Genomic DNA, 24,846 nt, shown 5'->3' with positions numbered 1-24,846 from the left:
AGACTAAGAAGGAAGAGCCACAGGCATAGGAGAAAACAGGAGAGCATGGTGTTCGGCAATCCAGGAAAATAAACTCTAGGTTGTTGGAGGTTCTGAAAAGTTTTAAAAAGCCAAAGGCAAAGAAAGGGAAGATTGGAAATTGAAGCATCTATGACAATCAGTGAAATGTTTTAGGTAGGTGTTAGAATCCACATTTAAGTGTCAAAACAGTAAGTGCAAAGTGAGGATAGTGTTCTTGGAAGAAGTTTGATATCTAAGAGTTTGCTATTTAAAGAGAGGAAGCACTTTGGGAGGCTGAGATGGGTGGAACACCTGAGGTTAGGAGTTCGAGACCAGCCTGGCCAATATGGTGAAACTCCATCTCTACGAAAAATAATAATATTTTAAAAAGGCTGGGTGTGGTGGCTCACACCTGTTATCCCAGCACTTTGGGAGGCCGAGGCAGGCGGATCATGAGGTCAAGAGATCGACATCATCCTGGCCAACATGGTGAAACCCTGTCTCTACTAAAAATATAAAAATTACCTGGGCATGGTGGTGGGACCCTGTAGTCCCAGCTACTCGGGAAGCTGAGGCAGGAGAATCACTTGAACCGGGGAGGCGGAAGTTGCAGTGAGCTGAGATCGCGCCACTGCACTCCAACCTGGCGACAGAGTGAAACTCCGTCTCAAAAAACAAAACAAAACAGAACAAACCAACAAACAAAAAATTAGTTGGGTGTGGTGGCACGCACTTGTAATCCCAGCTACTTGGGAGGCTGAGGCAGGAGAATCGCTTGAACCCAGGAGGCAGAGGTTGCAATGAGCCGAGATCCTGCCATTGCACTTCAGCCTGAGTGTCAGAGCGAGACTGTCTCAAAAAAAAAAAAAAAAAGGAAGAGGAAGAGAAGAAGGTGGCAACTGGAAGGAACCAACAATTTTGTGTTTGTTTACTTTTTGTTTTTTTAAGCTGGTATTGGGAGAGTTTTTGAATATCTGAAATAGAAACTTATTCTTCTTGATACTTGGGATTGTTTTATAAAAATGTTTTATAACTGATATTCTCATATTTTCATCATTTATGTTACTTTATTACTTAGCTTAATATGTTGATTAATTAAGAATTATGGAGATGCACTTATTCTTTGGAGAAGGACTTACAGTTAAGATTTCTTAGAAATTATAATTTATTGATGTATATTTATAAATGAGAGACAGGATTTAAGATGAAGTTTTAAAAAATGAAAAATAAACTTTAGAAGAGTTTTAAAACTGCCGTTTAGGGAATAACTGATTGCATTCATGTTGTTAAACTCATAATTATTCAGTTTAGTTACATTTACTGAGATGATTCTAAGAGCACAAATAGATTATTAAAATATAGTTATTTAGCTATAACTGGCCAGGTGCGGTGGCTCACGCCTGTAATCCCAGCAGTTTGGGAGGCGGAGGCGGGTGGATCACAAGGTCAGGAGATCGAGACCATCCTGGCCAACATGGTGAAACCCCGTCTCTACTAAAATACAAAAAAATTGCGGGGCGTCGTGGCGCATGGCTGTAATCCCAGCGACTCAGGAGGCTGAGGCAGGGGAATCGCTTGTACTAGGGAGGCAGAGGTTGCAGTGAGCCAAGACCTTGCCACTGTACTCCAGTCTGGTGACAGAGCACAAATACATCTCAAAAAATAAAAATAAAATAAAAAAAATTATTTAGCTATAACTGAATTAGCGATGGTTGTACTGTTTCATAAAAATTTACAGCCTAACAAAAGTTGAAAGAGAATGGCCCAGTTCAAAGATCTCAAAACTAGAATTTTTCATGAAATTAACTATATCAAACACCGCATCAGTGCTTGGGCCCTGGAGAATCTATATGTGTTTTTTATCCTCCATAAATTTTTCTCAGGAAAAATATTTTATTTGCTTATGTGAACATGCTGTTAGAAGCAAATCATTAAAGAAAATGTTCACATTTGTTTATGTTGTCAAGATGACATTGCACTTGTCATATATATATTTACATATATATATATACACATAATATTGAGTAGTCCCAATGTATTTCTGAAACTCTACTTGTTAAAAATATGAAATAACTATGAGTAAAAATGTTGTAGTCTTCAAACTTACGACTATAGATGCATAATGGATTACTCCACTTATGAATTTCTACAGATACTTTTTGCTCTTCTACTCCTTGTTGACTTATCCTCCAAAGTCACAGTATTATGAAGAATAATACTATTTTTATATTACCATTATGTTTAAAAGAATTCTTAAGGTAGAAGTTCATCCATAGCTTACTTTAATCAAACCTATTTTCTCAAAAATTAGCCTATGTTTTGAAAAGAAAACCATATTTGATTCAGAATTCAGCTAAGTTGGAAATTTAAATTTTAGTTTTTTTATTGCAATTATTTTTTTTCTATCAGGAGAAAAATAAAATTAGCTCTCATATTTTCAAATAGGGTCCTTTGTTAATAGAGTTTAGCAGAACACATTCATTGTACACTCTAGGGGTTGACACTTGTTTTAAAATGAAATACAGAGTGAAAATGTTAGAATCAATGCAAAAGATTTGGGGTACCATCAAGGTATTAAAGTATATTATTTTTTTGTGACATATTTTATTATATGAATCATGAAATCTGTGTTTTTTTCCCAATTTGTTGATGTTACGTCTAGAAAGATGTACAATATCCATATTTGGTACATTAGTAGGCAAACCAGGAAGACATAATATTGCAAGAGGCACTCACTCCTTAATAGAACTCTAGGCCAGGATATTCCACGCATCCTACTCCTGTAATAAGGAAAATTCCAGGTCACATAGCAAACTGTAATGGTAGGTGGAATTGTTCTTTGGTATATGAGGTGAAAAATAAACAATAATAAAAACAATACTTCTGAGATAAGAATGAGAATCCGAAACTTATTATGCCTGAACATTGCACACAGACCCACTTATCATAAGATGCCCCAAGGGTGACGATGAAGATAATCCAGTACTCTGTTTATTATTTATTTTTGAAAATTGACTACAGTATCCTGAGCATTCATTTTTGGGGGGAGCATCTTGAGGCTATTTAAAAGCACACATTGAGAAACATTGAACAAAAGTATCACTTTTCAGAAGAAAATATATTAAATGTTTGATCAAATTGAAACTGAGAGAAGCATCTCCTCTGAATGTTTAAGTTGTTTCCCCCAAAATGTACTTTTAAGTCTTAAAACTACTAACGGCTAGCGTAACACATTCTAATAGCAAAGGTGACTGAAAAATTATCTATGTTTGTTTCAATTACTCAAAAGTATTAAAGTGGGAAAATTCTGGCTTGAGCAAACTGACAATATAGTCAACTTCCTTGTCCAACAAAGTTTTTTTTTGTTCTTTGTCTCTTTCAATGATCCAGATTTATTCTGAGGAATATCCACTCTTTTACATGCTTTGTTCATGCCTGTCTTATTATTGTGTTACCAATCCCTACAGCTTTGCCTGGCACATTGTTGGCACTCAATATTGAATAAATAAACATGCAGCATTTCAGATAGTGTTTCTATGGATTGAGATAAGATGAGGTTTCTGAAAAGGAGATAATAATACAATGTATACATAGTGTGTAATAAGCATTCCTCTATGCAGGAGACTGGATTCTCATTATATTTTTATTGAAATATATTTGCCAAACTTGTAATTTCTTACTATGTTGGCATTTAACATAAAAATGCTAAAAATTGAAGCATTTAAACGGTCTCATTTTTTGCCGGAATGTCTTTTTTGAACTTCCCCAGAATTAAGTTTCATTTATACTGTCAGAATTGTGTAGGAATTACAGAGGAAATCAGTGATCCTAATAGATTGAGTTTTATATTTCCTTTATTTAATCTATAAATTTAAGTAAACCCAAAATCTAGGAAGATATTACTAACAGAGAAAGTTGATACAATCTAAGGGCTGGATTAAGATTGTACGAATCAATGGCAATTTTAGAATCCAACAGCTTTCCTAACATGATAGAGCAAGATACCCTATGGTTAAGTAATTTACAAATAATATTCATACCTTAAAAATTTGCAAAGAGTATCCCTCAGTGTAATTTATACTCTCTTACTATGGCCACACAGGTCAGATTTTATTGTCAAGATCAGGACGAAAAATACTGTTTCTCAGGTTGTCAGCATTAGGGTAGCGTCTTAATACAATCTGTGTTGGTTTTTTTTTTTTTCTTTTCCCAGCCACTTAAATTCTCTCTAGAGCTAAATCAGCCTAAAAATGAACTTGAGCTTAGTTAAAGATATAATGTGTCTTGGAAGGTATCCCTGCTTCTATATTTCTACCTGTTTCCATTAACTGCAGAATTATCCTGTCATAGCATTTTGAGTCTGGAGTAGAACTTGACCTTGTTCCAAAATATGTGACATGGTTATCTGTTGCTATGGAAATTATGAAACTCCTTTAAATGAAGCTATAAAGCTGTTACAAATTCCTTCACTCCAGCAGAACATGGATTTGAAGGAAGAAAATTTTATACATTTTGGAACTAGCTGAATAATTGCCAAGAAATAAATCAGCTGTCCATTATTCTTTAGGATCCAGATTTTGATGGTGGCTCTAAAAGGTGGCAGTAGGAGCTAAAAGATGAGACTGCCTGGGTTATTGCCTTACTTGATAGAGGGCAAGTGAATAAAATGACTGCATCTACTCAACACCTCTTCGCTGATTTCAATCTGCTCTACCATGCAAAGAAGCAGCTTGCTGGGCTCAGCAGTAACTCAGACTCTGTATTCCCTCTCTATGTGGGCTTGATTTGGAAATGTCTAACACATGTGCTCTCTGATTTTGCATAAATGCCAGTTTTCCCTCAACAACCTTGTCTAAGGCTGCTTTTGGAGGAGAATGCAAAAGACAAAGAATGACAGACAGAATAAATTATTTTTAAAATTTGCTTCAAAATTTGTTCCTTGAATGGCCTAAAATAGTGATTACTGAGTTAAAGAGAAACCAGTATAAATATAAAAAGTAATATAATATCAGTCTCGGTTACAGCAGACATCAGTGATTTGTCTCATTTTATCTAAAGATAATATTTAGATAAATGCATCTAATGTTGTGTCTGGTATAAGAAGGTGCTCGGCTAATATTTGTTGAAACTGGGAACGCCAAAGAACTATAAAATTTATATAAATTTTAAAATTTTAATGTTGTAATTAGAAATAACTGAGGCCATTTCAGCAAAATATTAGGCTGATAATTTTTCCACAGGCTGTCAATGTAGAAAAGTGATGAAGATAATTTTAAATCTATACTCATTCTATAATTTACAGCCTAAAAATAAAAGCTTTATGTGATCAAAATAATTCAGTCATTACCTATTAAATAGCTTTGTTTTTGTTTACATGTGAATTTTTATACTATTATAAGTATATGCATACTTTATCCATATTTATATATAAATATTATCAATATATTATATACTTATAAATATATATATAAATAAGTAAACCTTGTATGTAGTAATAGTTTTAGACTCAAGAAATCTAAGAGGCTAGCTTGGTAATCTTCTCTGGAATTTTCTATTAAAGACAGACAACATAAGGCTGGCTTGACCTTTTATTTTACTCACTAAAGAGAAAAAAAAAGTTCCCAAGTTCCTAGCAAGTTATACAAAAAGTACAATGTATAGTAGCCACTATCCTACAGTTTGTGTTGTACCTCTGTTGCATGTAGCTTAAGGTTATACTGAGATTCTTTTAATACTTATTTTGGTTTATTTTTGGAAATATTTTTCACAACTATTCCAGTTCCAAATATGTCAACTAAGTGATCAAAGTGCTTGTAGTTTGATGGGGCTCATATTATTCTTTTTTCTCTGATACAATTATGTATAATTTTACATATAAAATGTTCTATACGATTTTTAAACCTATTGAAAGTATGTTTGATTGTTCAGAATTTTCAACAACTTTACTAAATTACTATTTCTACACATTTAGATATAATTTGCTGTCTAACTGAATATGCTAAATACTTTAGGAAATAATTCAGCATAGCAGACAGAATTCTAAGATGGTCCCTTTATCTGGGCCACTAGCATTATGTCTTGTATAAATCCTTTCCCTCTGAGTGCAGGAGGAAATCATAACTTGCTTATAACCAATAGACTAAGGCAAAGGTGATAGGATATCAGTCCTGCGATTACGTTGCAATACAGATGTAAGATTTTATCTTGCTAGTATACATAGCTTCTCCTGGTGGCCTTGAAAAAGCAATCAGCCATGTTTTAAACTGCTTATTAAGAGGTCATGTGGCATAAGGAACTAAGAGGAGCCGCTAATGCCTGAAGCAAGCTTCAGCCAAGAGTCCTTAAGCCTGGCGTGGTGGCTCAGGCCAGGCGAGGCGGCTCAGACCTGTAATCCCAGAATTCTTTGAGGCCAAGGCGGGTGGATCACGAGGTGAGGAGTTCAAGACCTTCCTGGCCAACATGGTGAAACCTCGTCTGTACTAAAAATACAAAAAAATTAGCCAGGTATAGTGGCGGGTGCCTGTAATCCCAGCTACTCAGGAGGCTGAGGCAGGAGAATTGCTCGAACCCGGGAGGCAAAAGTTGCAATGAGCCGAGATCACACCACTGCACTCCAGCCTGGGTGACAGAGCAAGACTCCGTCTCAGAAAAAAAAAAAAAATCAAGCCAGAACCTTCAGTCATATAGTCATAACCAAATGATTTTTTTTTCCAAACAACCTGAATTCTTCCCCAGCTGAGCCTTGAGAAGAGAACTCAGACCAGCCAATACCTTGATTAGAGCCTGTGAGACCCTGATCTGGACCTCTGACTCACACTGAAATAATAAATGTGTGTTGCTTCAAGCTACTAAAATTGGGATAATTTGTTATACAACAATACAATACTAATACATCCAGCATATAAAAACTGGAATTGTGAAGAGGTAGCGTATGTAATTCTTTTTTTCTGTTTAAACCAATTAAACTATTTTGTAAAGTCTAAATTCTTCTCCTTAGGAAAATACCAGAAGTATTCCTAAGGAAAGTATAAGATAGCTCTAAATAATAAATCTGTTAAATTAAAAAAGTATTTTACAAATATTATCTGCACTTCTCTTTAGTTTTATTTTCCAGGTTTCAAATAATTTTAGATTATATGAAATATTCAAATAATTTGACTTTATAATACCTAATCTCACTCAAGCATAAAAATAGTCCCTATTTGAAAGCCCAACAGAAATGCTTAGAAATAAGTTTCTTGCTCTAAATTTAATACTCTTTAAGAATTATATTTTAAAAGATGATGTGAACAGTTCAACATCTTTACATATTTTACTAAATCACATTGTATATTTATTATACACCTATAATTTTATGAAATTAGTTATTTCTTGGAGCATTGCCCTTAAGCTACTGTATTATATCCCAAATTGCTTTTCTCAAATAACAGTCTGCCTGTTGGAAACTCAGCAGAGACAAGTATTAAATAAAGATTATACTGTTCCTTATCCCTCAAGTTGTCACTATAAAACAGGTAAGTGCTAGGGTTAAAAAAAGTGAAAGTAGATATTGCTGGCAAGAAACTAAATTAACTATGTCTACCTTGAATTCTGACAATAAAAGGGTGTCAGAATAAAAAACAAAGCTATGCAACATGAAATCATGACAAAGACTTATTGGTGTGAATACAGATGACCCTCCAGTTGCCAAGTCCCTGGTTAAGGTCTTTTTGTGATTATAACCAACAGCTTTGAATCTCAACTCTAAATGACTGCTGACAATAAGTCGTCTAGAATGACTCGATCCCAGGCAATTTGGTGAGACACTGCTTGTAATGAGCAAGGCTATTTTGATAATACTGCAGAGGCCTTCATTCAGTAAAACTTTAACCTGGGTTTTAAAAAAATGCCTTCTCTACCTCTCTTTACTTTGCAGTTCCTATTGACTCCAGGACTCAGCCCTCATCCTGAGGATAGACAAAATCCTCTTATGTCTTCCTTTCTCAAAGACATATATTTGAGAATAATATATGAGTTAGTATTGGTTTGCTATATTTAACCCGATACTTTGAAATGTTCCCTACCAAAACACTGGAAATATTATAAGAAATATTATATTTAGTTAATATATACATTTGCCAGAGTAAGTCAATGGCATAAACAGTATTTTAATTCTCTTGCTGGTGAGAGAACTAGCTTTGCACTGTAGCAAACTCTGTATATATATATATATATATATAATCTACTATGAAAACAAGTCAAGATTCCAAAAAAATTAAATACAGAAAAAGAAAGTTTGTATCTTTGACTAGATATTTGCTTTTCATTGTTCATTAAATACCAGTGCACAGATGAACTGGCATGAACACAAATGTTTATGGTAATCTTCACAGCTGTGTGTAGGATGTAGCTAATTTTTGGCATACAGTAGAGCATTATGTGTTTCTATATCATTGCTTTGTGGAATGTAAAAAATACTTTTTTATGAAAAATACTCACAAAATTCTAATACAATTAGATGAAGATTTAGAATAAAACACAGAATATATATTTGTGAACCAACATGAAGAAGCAAAAATCTGCTAAACATATTCATTTTCTTTTTTTTTGGAAGGGGAGGTGAATGACAAGAAGATGGTGCAAAAAGGAATTTAAGAAATAAAAATCCATGAAAACAGACATAAGGGAAAGATTCAGCATGGTCTCTACAATAATCATCACTTTATATTCATCATGGCATTGCCAGTATTTATGAATATGGACATGTTTGAATGCAGTTATTAACAGGGAATGTATACTATTTGTCTTCAACTTTAAAATTTTGACAGCTGGCAGGCGCGGTGGCTCACGCCTGTAATCCCAGCACTTTGGGAGGCCGAGGCGGGAGGATCACGAGGTCAGGAGATCGAGACCATCCTGGCTAACATGGTGAAACCCCGTCTCTACTAAAAATGCAAAAAATTAGCTGGGCGTGGTGGTGGGCGCCTGTAGTCCCAGCTACTCCGGAGGCTGAGGCAGGAGAATGGCGTGAACCCAGGAGGCGGAGCTTGCAGTGAGCCCAGACAGCGCCGCTGCACTCCCGCCTGGGCGAAAGAGCAAGACTCCATCTCAAAAAAAAAAAAGAAAATTTTTTTGACAGCTTATTTTGTTTATTACCACTTTTTAATATGTTTCATAATTAGTACTTCAAGAGCTATATAACTATCCTTAAAATTATGTAATGAAATTTATATATCCATTTTTCTATAGTTGATAGATTTAATGATTCATTTTTAAACTGTATTATGTGACTTTTAAAATTTTTTAATAAAATTCTAATCATCAATGTTTAAATGTTTTAAATGTTAATGTTTTCAATGTTCAAAATCTTTCTAAAGCACCTAATACAATCTCTTTCCGTCGTAAAGTAAACTAAACCTAATTTCATGTATCTATGATTGACAGCTATGATTTAAAGAGCAACTCCTGTGTATCAGACTTTGTGGTAGACAGTTTACATTTCCTCTCTCATGTAACAGACCACTCTGTATGAGCAGTGTGTCTAGTCCACATGCACCTCTGTGAATTTTAGAGAAAGCATCTTTAGACAAATGAATAGTGGATAGCATGGTGTTGCCTTTGTGGAAAGAAAAAAAACGGTGCCTCTTCCTCAGACCCACCCCTAAGCCAGAGCACAAAGGCTCACAAGCTTTTGTCATTTGGTTACATGGCACTTTATCCCACTCCTCCCCAGCCACCTTAACTCAAGACCTTGATTAAGGGTGGTAAAATGCAAGTTCAGAAAGTTAAGCGTCTTAAACCAGGATTCTACAAATATATTAAAATTAGAAACTATCTGTCAAAAAATAGGTATTTTGTTAAAGAAAATATACATATACATGCAATGAAACATAGATGATAATTTAAACCTATATGTGTTTATAGAAGTGAATGTTCACGATATATTTTAAGAGAAAAAAGGAAGTTAAATGTCATATTCAGAGTAGGATTCAAGTGGACTTTACAATGCAGGGGAGGTGACAGAATATTATGCAACACTTTTTTCAAAGAAAATATCATCTCTAGTAGTAAATATTACAGTGACTCCATTTTGCTTACTGTGTTTTCAAACTGGTTAAAACTTAACCTTTATTCATCCCGAAGTAAATATTGCATTTTCACATTTCATTAAATATGTTGTTCTGAAAACTAGATATTGTAATTTACTTTTGAAAATGAAAATCAGCTGTTGTCATTGACAAGTGTTCAATTAGTAATAATTGAATTGCTCTGAGAAGATGAGGAAGGGATAAAATTTTCTGTTTTCTAGCTATATTTCTGATGTGTCATCAGAGTTATCATTGAACATTACCACGAATGAGGCTGAATTGTCATTAGAAAAATAACTACACTTAATAATTCTTATGGTTACTGAAACAATCTTAAAATACCAGCTGCTCTATTCAACAAATATCAATATATGGATTGCTCCACAGGTGAGACATTTAGTGAAATGAACAGAAAAACTTCTCACACAAAATATGCTCATTATTTAAACATGTATCAATAAAGTTATCTTTATTAACACATCAATTTTAAAATCTAAAAATATCAGTTCTAACAAGTGTATAATGTATTCACTTATTACAAGTCCTCATTGACTCCCACTGATCTGTGGTTTTAAGGAAGCAAGTAATTTAGTTTGTTTCAGTGGTACATAAAATAAAAACAAATGGGTTCCACTTGAGGCTCAAGGGGTTCATCTATAATTATCTGATTTACTTCTACACGTGTTAATGTTTAAAATGTATAACACATTTGGCTTGCCTCAGATTATTTCCATATTCTTAAAGATTTTTCCCTCCCTCTGGAAAACTGAGCCTGCAAGATAAGTCCATTTTGTTTTAAATGAGATGTTATTTTCTGCAAATGCTTGTGCATAAATACGGCAACATTTCTGGAGGCATGGTTTTCTTTTTCTTCTTAGAGTTAATGTATCATCCTAGTAAATAATCCACATGGTTCATTAAGAAAACATGTGTTCTGGGGCTTTTGTCTGTGATAGTCTTCACCTGTCATTTTCAACCAGCCTCAGCCTATCTGCTCTGTCACAATCACTACTAAAATATGTTCCTAAATTGCTTGTTTCTAGATCCTTCCTTCTCATATGCTCAGGTGAACACATGGGTGAAATTTAATATGGAATTGAAATATGTACTATGCAAGATAGATTCCTTAAGAAATGTTTCTCTGATTTATATGACATAATTGTATTTTACTAGTTTACCTGTCCATCTGTAAAACTTTGTTTTGGAGATTTCATATATTACAATGTTTAAGAAATATGCTATAATGTTTTGTATAGTATATTTCTTCGTGATAACCTTATATACTACCAGTCACACGTGTTTGTAAAAATCTAAAGAGTACTTTTGGCTCCTACAGAATGTGTGAAGTTGTGAAATTGTTTTTTTGTTTTGTTTTGTTTTGTTTTTATGCCCCAAAGATGTGGAGGGCTTCATATAAGAGGGTAGATTTAATGAGAGAGAGAGGGAGAGACAGAGAGAATGATAAAAGAAGCTTAAGAGATTATTTTATCTTGTCAACGACATTGTTATTGAATGTAAGCTGCTAAACTTCTTAGATAAAGTAAAACAGTAAAAACAAACACACAAAACAGAACAGAGAATCATCAGACAGGCTGACGAACACAGTACAATAAAGCAGCCAGTACCGATGATCAGTGGACATCAATTTGTCTTTTGGGCTGTAGCACCTGCTACTAATTGGTGCAAAGCGCTCACCAGTCAGTGCGTGGTTTAGCGCACTCAGCTGTCTCCTGTATGTGCTGCGAGAAGCAAGATAGCTAATTGCTGTTGCTTCAGTGCCAGTGAAATCAACGTGCTGAGCTAATAGCGACAGATAGAGGGCAGACAGATTCCTGCTAGCAGCTTAGTGTTAGTTGCTTGTGGTAACTAAGGCAGGTGGCATACATCTCAGAACGTGGAGAATGATGGTATGCTTTCTGAGTTAACATGTTGAACTGTTTTGCTTTTCTAAAAATTTTCCTAGTAACATTTTCTTGATGATATGAGAGTGGATATCAATGCCTCACAGAAACAAGAGGTGGAACATGTGAATGAATCGTCTTGGAACTAGATTATGAGCACTGGTTCTTTTTAAAGGGATGTGCAAGAGGCAGCCTTGGCAAGAAAACTTGCTGCATAATCTTACATGGACTAAAGATGAAACTTTAAACCGCAAGTAAGTTCTTCCCCCGCCCTTCTCTTATTTTTTTCAAATTTAAGGCAGCAGTGAACCACAGAGAAAGTTAAGATGTTCTTTCAGTACAATGATCTCTGTCATGATGCTACTTTCTGTCATGCTTGTTGAAAGAATAGAGTAGTAATGATTGCAAGTGATTATTTGCTGGAAGAGTGAACACAACTGCCTGTCCTTTCATTCTTCCTGATTACTGTCTGGTATTGTAATTTTGTTTAGATGACAATGTAATCTTTACAAAGACACAAGCTTTTGAATTATAACTCTGGTTTGTTATTTAAAAGAATTTTTAGTCCTCAACCACTTCTTCTACTTCCTCCAACCTGAAAAAATACAGAAAAATGGCATCAGAATTGACTTTTTGTTTTTCTGTGTGCAAATATTGATGATTTGTTTTATGAGTGGTTGTTGCTGGAGGTTATAGTTGGCAGTTGAGTTAAAGTAGCTAATTCTGCCTCACAATGAACAGTATTTTTTGTCTTTTGTGAGTATACTGATATTTTTACTGTGGATGTTTTAGTTTATTAGAATATTTACTTCCTTTGTGCGTATCTGGAAGCATTAACCATTTAGAATTTGAATCTAGGTCAACTGTATCCTTCTAATACAGAATTAATGCTAGATAGTATTAACAGCTTTCCCACTTTGTGATGTGGCCTTTACTTTAAAAAATATACTTTGGTAGCTATAGAGTGGGTGGGCCCTGAATAACAAGTTTCAGGTTCAGTGTGTTGATACTCTGTGTCTCTAGTACACACAGATGGCCATCGATTTGATGGACTTGTAGCACGTATGCAGAAAGCCATTGTTAACTAGAGTATAATATGATGGCCTCCTGTAAGGTTAACTCCAAGTCATACTCATTTGCTTTCACAAAAGAGCCAATTGTCAAATCTAGTAACCAAATACTTAAGTTATTATGTTGCTTAACATTAGAGAAACAAATAATCTGTAAAAGAGGCATATTTTGAGCGCAAAATGCTTGCTGTGGTTTGCACAGCAGGTATGAAGCTTTGTTGTATATGCTCATGTGAACTGTTTTTTTGTTTTCTTTTCACAGAAAATTGGTTTTACTATTAGTTTCTTTAGTTTGCTTAAGTTGTGGCTAAGTGTGAATGAGTGAATGTATCTGTACATGTGTGTCTTCAAGTTTCAGCAACTTGATCCCCTTGACTGTGGACTCATTCTCCTATGAAATAAAAGTGCCATTTAATGGGTGCCCAATTCCACTGAGTGGCGACCTCCTAACCCCTCAGCTGTTGCAATTATGTGCTGAGCAGGAAATGTGAATCCCTACAACTTTGCCCCCCAAATTACCCTTAAACATAATCATTAAGTGACCTGAACAGGTCAGAGTTTGTGCTACCTAAGTGTCAGCAACTTCTCTGGAAAATTATGGCATGAAGTTTTGAATATTATTCACAAAAAGATTTAAATAAAACATTTCATTTTCTAGGAAATGTTTAAAAATATGGTATACCCACTGATAATATTTGATAAGTATCTGAACTATAGTTTTAAAAAACACTAATAATTATGCTTTAAAAAAACCCAGTGAAAAATAAATGTCCATTACAACTTTGCTCTTAATTTGTTCACATTTAAATTTTGCATGGTATGTGTTGTATCTTTTTATTATACAACTTTCACAGCAGATAGGCAGACATAAATTGTTTTTATGCCACTTGCAAAAATTCTCCAGTATTTGGTTCATAGCTTATGTTTGAAATTAAAGGCAAAAGGTAATTATTATTTTTATCAAAGGAAATCACTATAATTATTTGATCACAAAACGTACGTCAAGCAAATACATGTTGAGGAATTAATGATTCCTTTGTGTTATCACTTTATCATGAGGACTTTTACTCCTTAGACAAATTATGAACCTTCTCAAAATAGTAAAATGTAAAACCAAAAATTATAAAGTAATTTCATAAATGTGACTACTTTATTGGGTAGATGAGTGTACTCCCCCTTTCTGTAAATGTGCAGATACAATTTCAGACTGTAGGAACTTTTTTTCCTACTTAAATGGTGTAAAACAATAGCTTTTCATAAACGAGCTGTTATATTAACTTCTTCCTAACACAGAAGCCCCCCATATACATTTACATTTTATTGTAGCCCTAATGCTGGGAGAAATACATGGTTTTAAGTTTCACTCAGGATTTGAACACAAGGAAAAGTTAGCAGAAATAATAATCTAAACAAAGAGACCACACTACTTCATAAAATGATCATATTTATTATCTAAAAGTTTAATTTTACTTCAGACTCTATTTTAAGAGTGGGTTTTGGTCATAGTCATTTTGTTTGTATTTTTCCATTTTTTAAAAGAGTTCTTAGTATCGGGACCACTTGTGAACTAGAATCATTTTGTCATTCTATGTATCTGTGGTTTTCACATGCAAAATAAGACTATACAATTATAATATTGAAAAGATTGTTTTACTTGTCAGGGATGGCATCCAAAAACTATTTTTGTTACTCTCAACTAAAACTTTGTTTGAGGTTTGATATATTTTCTTTTGTAATGGGATTTTGTTGTTGTCGTTAACACTATAGCATGAGAGAATGTGGATTCAAAACTAACAGTGACCTGTGGGGCTTCATTTATTAGTTTCAGACTCAAATATGACTGAGTTGCATCCAAGGGTATTGGAAGGAAGTGTGGTGACTCATTAGTGCTCATAGTCAATTTTGAGTGAGGAAAAAAAAAAAGCTAATGTGAGTAATTTATGGCCAGATTATTTTCTCTTGATAGAGTCGCCATAGAAATTCCAGAGGTGTAAATCACCCAGAAACTGTAACGTTTATTTAAATTGAATACTGGAAGCACTTAGGTTGAAATGGTGACAAGAACCGAGAATACACCCAGAAATTCCAAATGCACATGTTAATTCGTTGCATGTATGGATGGCAGGGGCAGGATGGGAGGTAGTTTTGAATGTGAGAGCGACTAGCTTGACCTTAAAATACAATTTTCAACTGTGGTGTATAAACTGAAGTGAGAGACTTGGAAGAATATGTAGACGAGTATGACTTAATCTCAGCCTAAAAGTCAGTCACGCTGAGTAAGATGGACACACCCCGCTCCCCCCCTGCCCACACATACACATGTGTGCTATTTATTAATATAAGGAGCATAGAAACATCATATTCTGTCCGAAGGACAACAATTATTTTCCTTGAGAACCTCAGCACACCCTCTAAACATTTGTTCCTCAGTGTCCACATTTAAAATACATAACTTATAAATGAAGCCAGCAAAATGAATAAGAAACCTGTAAATTGCTAAATAATTTTAAATACAATTAATTGTTTTAATCTTGTCCAATTACTTCCTAAGATGATCGTGTGTGTGTGTGTGTGTGTGTGTGTGTGTGTGTGTGTGTGTGTTTCAACAATAACAGCAACAAAATAATTTTCACCTAAAGAGTAAAAGTTTCTGAGCACTGTAATGGACAAATTTCCTTTTATATCATAAACCTTGTTTAAAGGTTGCATTCACCCTTAAAATTAGATCATGGCTATTGAAGCTATAAATGTAAGAGGCAAAAGCAGTCATTATTTCAAAAAACTAAAGAAAATGAAGCATTTCTTTCCTTCAAGTTGGTAAATGGAAAAGTTCAAAGCTTGTTTATTGTGTTCCTTGATGGATAAGAAATTGATAGGAGGTGTAACTTTCTGTATGGCTTTTAGAGTGTAAGCATTCTCAGGCCATGGCAGATGTGTAGTTCCTATTACTTTGAAAAGTCATTCATTCTCATGCCTAGTGAAAGGGCAAACTTCCGATAGAATTAAGCACTGTTTCCTGACCGGGGGAGGACAGCGGTGTGTGCAATGAAGTGCATCATTCAAAAGGAAGCCCAGCTAATGAATGCTCTCCCTGTTGTTTTCATGGAGGTGTCAGAATGAGCCTTTTCTGATTCTGCATCACTGAATCCTTATGGAAATGCAAATTGTTTATCCAAGGACAGTGACTTTTCTTTTTGCTTTATCATTTAAGGGACTTATTTCTTCAACTTTGCAGCACATCACTGGAATCCAGAAAAGGGTCATTAAAACTGGATGAGAGGTTTTTATTACTTTAGAATCTTACATCTCTGTCCGAGAGACAGAGACAGACACAGATAAGTCACAGAAAGATATTCACAGAGATACAAACTCAAAGAGAGATACAGGGATAGTCACACAAAGAAAATGAGAGAGACTCACAGGGAAAAACATAATAAAAGTTAGAGACAGTCAAATATAAGAAAAAGAGAAAGGGAACAGAAAGAGAAACTGAGATATACACTTAGAAAAGAACAGAAAGAGAGAGAAGTGGAGATAGGTTGAGACAGAAAGGTAGAAGCAGAGTGACAGACAGGCCGGGAAAACACAGGGTCAAGAAAGACAGAAATAGACAGATTGCCAGAAAGACAAATAATAATCAAAATGAAACAAAAAAATGTAAAGAGATAGGGAAAGGGATATAGAGACAGAAAGTCTGAGAGATAGAGACAGAAAGGGAGACTGAGACAGGCATACATACAGATAATAGGAAGGTTGATATATAGATATAGATACCTAGATGATGATGATAGATAGATAGATAGATAGATAGATAGATAGATAGATACATAGATACATAGATAGATAGATAGATAGATAGATAGATAGATAGATAGATAGATAGATAATGTAGAAAGACAGAGAAGAGAGCCTGTGATCCAAGCATGGAGAATGAAATTAAATGTGTGTATGTAAGAGAGAGGCTGTGAGATGGGTCTTCAAGTTTCAATAACTGTTGCTATAGAGAATTGATGGTAAAGAAAAGAATACAGAACCAGATGGAATTGAGCTTTAATTCTATTCCACTCCCTTACCAGCAAGGATCAAGTTGTTTAACTTCTCTGAGCCTTGGTTTCTCTCTGTAAAGGGTGATAAAAGGATGTAATTCACATACATAAAGCATGCAAGCACAGGACCTGAAACCAAGGTATATTTCAGTAAATGGAGATTGATACTTATCATCATCATCATCCTTGACATCAACATAATTATTTAGGTATAATTCTTGAAAGCAAAAGCATTGTCATCAGAGGTCAAGGCATCAGAGGTCAAGTTAAATCCTTGTTTCAACCCTTATTCTGCACAGAATATAGTGAGTAATTTAATATTGATAAGCTATAGTTGCATCACCTGGAAAACTCAGGTATTATTTTCTATCTCATAGTCTTGCTCTCAATTAAATGAAAAAGCATATTTCATTTGTGGCCTTGCACGTTGTATTTTAGTAATTCCACTAACTAGCTCAGTGTCCAAAATTTGGTAAGTACTCAATAAATATTTGATGAAAGAATACATATTTGCTCTGAATATTAGTTTCCATAGAGTATGGAAAAGCTGAAATGATGTTTTGGTTTTTTAATATGAAACATTGCAATGAAACAATCAATTTCCTCCTGTCTGCTTTGCAGAGAATGGTGGTATTGATTTGCAGAATTACTAGAAAAGATATCTCCCTACTGTCCATCCTACTTTCTTAAGGCCAACTGAAGTAATAGTTTTGAGAATGGACATTTATTTTGTCCTGGTGGTGACTTGGTCATTTTTATTTAATTACTTAATATAAGGACTGGTTTTGGAAGAGAGAGGCGGTAGGAATTTTTAAAAAGTAAGTGAATGTTTATAGTAAGATGAGTGAAGATCGACCAAGGACAAGGAAAAGTGGACCATTAAGTTAGAAAAAAAGTATAAAACTAAGAAGTGTGGAGAATTTTAAATGAGACACACATATACTTCTTTTTCTGAATTTCAAGAAAAGATGGGAGAAATATCATCATAAAGAATGTGTATGGTTTGTAAGTGAAAATGTATAATATGAAAGTACTAAGGCTATCCCTAGCTATAAGGCAGATTATGATAAATAAAGAGATTTGCCAGAAAGTAAAGTACTCAAATTTTGATTTTCAATTTTATGTTAAAAATTTGAACTTAAACAATTTTTGAATTTTACAATTCAGAACTTTTTACTAAATTTGTTATTACTACTGTTTGACTATGTTTTAAAAAAAGCAATCTAGGAATGAATGCAAGAGTTTGGTTTGAATGTTTATTTTCCTACTTTCTTTGATGTGTTGTTGAATTTATCTTATAAATGATAGAAGGAAAAAATATTTAGAGTCTACTGTGTGCCAGGAGCTATGAATGGTGATTTTAAATATGCCATCCATTTAACCTCTACCAGGTAGGTACAGATTTTGCCCCTCTGATTAATTTTACTTCTGAATGTGTGTGCATGAAGCCCTTCATTTAAGAGGTGTTGAAAGTCTGTTAACCTTACATTCCATCTGATACGGTAAGCATGAAATAAAATACTCCATTTGGAACATTAGCTATAGTTGCATTGGTGTGCTAATATTTTTCAAAAAAATGACAGCAAACATTTCAGGCATATTTATAAGGTTTATTGAAAAATTTCCACTCAGGATATACTGAGCTTTCAATAGCATACATTATATTAATTATTATTTTGTATTTGTAAATTAGGGCTAAGGATAGAACAATATTCAGCTGAGCTTCAGATAATAAGGTTTCATTGTGAGAAATAAGATTTTCTCAAATAACTTTTTAGGAGATGGTAACTTGAATGGAAGATATTGTGTAATTGAGAAAATGCCAAAGCAAAGAGCATTGCTGTGTGTTTATGTAATAAAATGCATGTTTAGTAAATAGTTGCCATTTTGATGTAGATTATATTTCCTTTAAGATATATATAAGATATATATATATCTTATATATATCTTAAAGGAAAGAAATATATATCTTAAAGGAAATATATATATATCTCAAAGCAGTTTCTTAGAATTCATGATTATTTTAATCAAAGAAATAGCTGTGCATTGTTTTCAAAAAAGAACATTAAATTGTGAGTATAATGAAAAAAAAAAGAACACATTCCTGCCCCTTAGTCAAGTTTTCCTATACAACTTTGTAAACCCTTTTTTGTGATGTTTCTTATTTTATTTATTCACATATTTTTAAATAACATGATTATGATGTTATCTTTTGATTTACTGATTCAAGATATTGTTTTCTTCCTATTACGCTATTTAACATTTGGTTATTTTATACCATCAGCTCATTTTTTATCCTACCCCAAGTTCTAAGCACAGTTTTACATATATATACACAAGTGTATATATATGTATATATATGTTTATATATGTATATATATGTGTGTATATATGTATATATAAGCATATATATACATATATAAATTATGGCTACTTTACTACAATATGCAAAAATAGATTGTGATTCTTTTCTAATTTTTTATTTTTCTATCATTAATTCATGCCTTTTTCAGCTTACTTTGCTGAACCTGTATCTTTAAATTTTTTTGAGACATTCCACAGATCATGATAGTCAATAGATAAATTGACTTAGAAAAATAAATTTTTCTAAGTCTTCAAAAATGCTGGCCACTAAATTCCATGATTTTTCAGAATGGCAGTCCTCCTTTCAGCAGTTTTAAGACCCAGACTTATACTGCCTCATTGCCTCTGGGTGGGTGTATAAAATCTCAGCTTCCCTCCTGTATCCCAGAGCCACCAGAGATATTGAAAATAGAGAATTGACTTGCAATACTTTTTTGCTGCAGAATGGGTGTGGAGGCTCAGCTACTCAATATCCCTGACACCAAGGGTGGGGATAAAGCGCAGTGCTAACTAGCCTAGACTTGCAACACAGTTTCAATCTCATTGATGCCCAGGTGGGGATGAAGGTTCAGTTCCCCTGAGCCTACTGATATTGGGTGCTGGTGGTGACATGGAGTAGTGGAGTGGAGCCTACAATTGACAAGATCATCCTCATATTGCCTCCTTAATTAAGTCAGCTTGGTACTGGGTAGGAATAGAGGCTCACCTAGCTCACCTGGTGGTCCAGGTGGAGGACTCTGCTAACAGCATGATATGGGTAGGAGTTGGGAATGGGGGACTCAGTACATTTCCTTCTTTCTGGTAGTGAATGAGATATAAGATCCCACCCTGCCAGTGCTCAACCTGGCTATATTACTGTATTTGTCAGGGTTCTCTGGAGATACAGAATGAATAGGAAATTAGATAGGTGACAAATAGGTTACCTATTTGTCTGTCTATCTGTAGATAGATAGACAAGAAATTGTCCCAAGTAATCACAGAGAATGAGAAGTCCCTAGATCTGCAGTCAGCAAGCTGGAGATCCAGGAATACTGATGGTATTGATCCAGTCTGAGTTCAAGTCTGATGGTAAAGGACTCACGTCCCAGCTTGAAGACAGGTAGGGAGAGCAACTTTTGTTCTGTTCGGGACTTCAGTGGTTTAGATAAAGCGCATCCACACTTGGGTTGTCAGTCTGCTTTACTCAGTTTACCAATTCAAATGTTAATGTCATTCAGAAACACCTTTACAGGCACACCCAGAATAATGTTTAACCAAGTATTCGGGTATCTTATCGCCCAGTCAAGTTGACACACAAAACCATTCATCACAGCTCCTTGAGTAGATGAATTTAGTGGCAGCTACCTGCTTTCTCAGAAGCAAGGTTGTCATTTGTGAAAAATCTGCTCCCTACTTGACATTGCTGAAGTCACTAGTGGGGTAGAGATGGTGCAATTTTTGTCCTTGGTATTTGGCTGGAGTAGGCAAGTATTTCCCAAAACTTTTTCTGTTTTTAGACCACCATTTTTCTGGTCCTTTGTTTAGAGTAAAGATATTTTTCTTGGAGCTTTTTGGACCTGCATCTATATTCCAGTCCATTTTGGAGCCCTGCCCCAGATTATGGGCCAGAATAAGGAAACCCAGAGGGCTCACTGCCATGTTGTTGTTGGCCCTTAGGTCTCTAGCCAGTTCACCTTGTTCTTTCTACTTCTCAGGGTCATTCTATGCTCATTAATTGTGTTGTGTACAGGGCTTTTGTGTTGTAACAAGAGGGGCTTCTTAATGAAATCAGAAGTCTTCCTAATGCACATTGTAAAGGTGCTACTCTCCCTGCTCTGTGGAAATAGTCAACAGGTAGATGAGAGCAGAAATGAGAAATTAAGGAGCCCAAGCAATAATTTAGGCACAAAGAAATGGTGGCTCAGCCTAAGGTATTAGCAGTGCGGTGGTCAGAAGTGGTTTTGATTCTGAATACATTTTAAAGATAGAATCACCATAATGTATTGATGGCTTAAATGTGAGATATGAAGTAGAGAGAGAGATTGGATGACTTCAGGATTTTTAAAATTGTCACTGAGATGGGAAGATTAGCATGAGCTTAGAAAGGCAAATTAAGATCTCATTTTTAAACATGTTACGTTTGAGATGAGTATAATGCATACAAATTAGATAACCCTGCAAGTTTAGAGCTTAGAAGAGAAGTTGGGCTGGATATAAATTTTAAGAAAAGAAAAGGTCTGTGGACCTTAAATTTTAAGAAAAGAAGAGGTCAAGGTTTCTAAGGGACTGTGATTCTATAAAGGATTAGATTCTCCAGTTTGAATTCAACTTCAAACTCAGTGACCCATTGAGTGAATTATTAATGCAATTCCACTCTCTCTACTGCAATCTTGCTTCCACCTTTGCTATTTTTCTGAGATGCCCCATACCTGTTGTCACCAATGACTTGCTAAATTCAATGGAAGATTTGACCTATCTGGACTACTTGATTGCTGAGTACTACCTCATATTTCTTTTATTTTAAGAAAAGAAGAGCTCTGGGCCCTTATAAGGATCAATTGTTTCAAATACCATTAATGATTCCAAAAAGACAGGAACTGATAAATAATTACTGGTTTCAAAAATGGAGGTTATTAGTAAACATGAAAAGCAGTTCAGGTGCTGTGTTAGGATTGAAAGATAATTGGTCTAGGAGTATTTTGAGTATTTTTGTTGTTATTGTTATTTTTGTTTGTGGGTCTTAATATTTTTCTCTCAAGATCTCATTCTTATCCTCTAAGTCATTTGCTTTTTTAAAATTATATTTTCTTATCTTTGTGAGGATGTTTATTTTAAAGCAGTTTTATTTAGCTACCTCTCTATTATTTCCTCTCCCTATTCCCACCTTTTATTTTTTATTCTGTTTTATTTTCCATTTTTAGGGTTTCAGGTTTTATTCAAAGAGGCTGATTAATCCTGCTTCTCCATTCACATTAAATTATTAGATGAGTATGTAGGCAATGGAAACATATATATCTTCACGTGTAATTGTTCAGTGTTTATTATTTTTCATGTATCTCTGTGTGGGTGGATTTTAAGTCAACAGGACCTTGGGGCCAGGGGAATGATCTGCAACACATGGCTTCCAAGCTCGCTCAGAGGATTTGTTACCCCAGACAACTTTCTGCGGGAAAAAAATAAGCAGCCTGCAAAGAAGGTTTCATAAATCAAGATAGGATGGGATGTGGCACATGGGACTTCTCACCTGCCTTTGTCTAGAACTCAGTCACAAGGCCAAGTTTAACTATTGGGAAGTTGAGATAAATACTCTTGTTGTGTTCTAAAAGATGAGGGAAATACATATATATATTTTTTACATATATAGGTATATATATATATGTAAATATATACATATGTAAAAATGTGTGTGTGGATTTTTAATAGATAGTTGTCACTGTCACTAGTGGCTGGGCACTGAGATGCTCTTTGGAAATCTTCTGTGTATGAGCAGAGCTTGTCAGCAGGTAGACATTCCTGTACTCAAGCAAAGAATTGGCCTTACTTTCTTTGACTTAAAAGTCTGGTGGCTCTCTGACAATTTCTTCAGAAAATAAAATCTTAGTTATGGGGAAGGAGAAGTCTTATGGGAAAATTGCTCAGAACTTGGGGAAGGATCCCCCTAATTTACCTATACTTTTATTTAATATTTTAACTGACACCACTAATCTTTCTTGATTTTCATGCTACCCTTATTTGTTAAGTTTGTCGTATTTTCTCCAGTCAATTTGATAGTGTATGTTATCCATACTCACCCAATTTTGCCATTTTCAATGTGATATTTTTGTATTCTGCTTTAAATAATTATGACCTTCCATTTACTTTCAAACATTAAGAAACTTGCTGAATCACATATTTGCTTTTATCACTTTTCTTTCCTGTGGTTTAATACTTTTTACAAATTTTAAACTGAGCTATGTGGAAGAAAACAAATAAGCACTTTGGTCAATCTAAAATCTTAAACTCACATATTTGCACTTCAAAATTAAGAAAAGGTGATTGTGGGATGATTGATTTATAAATAGTTGCATTTAAACATGGAATTTAAACATCAATATGCTTACTGAATATCTTAATGTCAACATATCATAAATATGCCAATTTTCACTGTAAAATAGTGATTATGATTGTTGCTAAGGAAATATTTGGTTTTGAACCAAAGTATATGTTAATTGCTTGTCAGTGATTTATATTTGTAGCTACTAAATCACTCAAGCCTCTGTCTTTTGCTTAAAGCACACACACACATACACACACACACAGTCATCTCCGCTGCAGTGCAATTTAATATTGAACATAGATGTTGAGGACATAGCAGGAGGAAAGAATAAGCTGTTAGACAACTCATCAGGAAATTCTCTCTCCTGCAGCTTCTCAGCAAGTCATAGGGTAAAAATTTAACAAGGGACAAAATAGAAACAAGATTTTTGGATAACTTATAACATTCACACATAGTATGTCTTTAAGGATTTTTGTTTTTGTATTTGCTTTGGTGTTGGTCATACCAAAGACATTCTTATAAATGTTATGTTATATATTGGTTGTCAAATGAATTTTAAATATGAATGTTTTGGGAGCCATTCACTATATTAGACGTACTTATGCTTTCTCATAGAAAAAAAATCAGCAACAATTCCTGAGACATTCAATGTGACCCCATATTCCATGTAGTTAGTATTATTCTCATGGGGAATATAAATATCTTCTTTGAAAGTTTCATATAGGAAATGACCAAGTTTCTAGAGGACCTTGATTCTATAAAGAATTAGATTCATAAGTTTGAATTCAACTTCAAACTCGATGACCCATTGAGTGAATTATTAATGCAATTCCACTTTCTCTACTGCAATCTTACTTCCACCTTTACTATTTTTCTGAGATGCCCCATACCAGTTGTCACCAATGACTTGCTAAACTCAATGGAAGATTTGACCCATCTGCATTACTTGCTATTGCTGACTTTTCCCCCATCTTAGAATCTCTCCTCTGCCTACTTTTACATAGCATAACTTTCACCTTTTGTTTATTTTTTGTTTATAATTATTTACATTTTAAATCTTATTACTGAAGACAGATTTTAGGTTTACTTTCAAGCTCTTCTTACTCTATGTATATCTCACACGTTAATGTTCTCAGATATACTTTCTTATTTTTTTCCCCTCCAGCCTTCCATATTACTTCTGATTTATTTTATCTACCGTTAAATTCTTAACTAATTTCTGTCTATAGATGGCAGCTAAAATTGTATCTCTGACATCTCCAAATTTTATTCCATAGCTCAGACCTGCATAACCAACTGTCTCTTGGAACTTTCATTTGGATATCCCATGATTATTTCAGATTCATAAGGTGTAAAACTAAGTTCATGATCTCTTCTCCATCC

The 24,846-nt window shown here is 34.4% G+C and overlaps 1 protein-coding gene across 20 annotated transcripts in view; it reads left to right on the top strand.

Annotated features, from left to right (window-relative positions):
* Nucleotides 1–24,846, top strand: part of PCDH15 (protocadherin related 15) — a 1,825,172-nt gene that overhangs the window by 814,796 nt on the left and 985,530 nt on the right. For 19 of the 20 annotated variants that reach the window (XM_047425663.1, NM_001354420.2, NM_001354429.2 and 16 more), the window contains exon 1: nt 11,916–12,222. The exons of the other annotated variant lie outside the window; for it this stretch is intronic. The gene's annotated coding sequence lies outside the window, so the exon portion shown is untranslated. Of the gene's footprint in view, nt 1–11,915; nt 12,223–24,846 lie in introns of those variants that run through there. 20 annotated transcript variants of the gene reach the window in all.

This window comes from Homo sapiens, chromosome 10 (assembly GCF_000001405.40).
Source record: "Homo sapiens chromosome 10, GRCh38.p14 Primary Assembly".
Classification (NCBI taxonomy): domain Eukaryota; kingdom Metazoa; phylum Chordata; class Mammalia; order Primates; family Hominidae; genus Homo; species Homo sapiens.
This window is presented reverse-complemented; position numbering and strand designations above follow the sequence as displayed.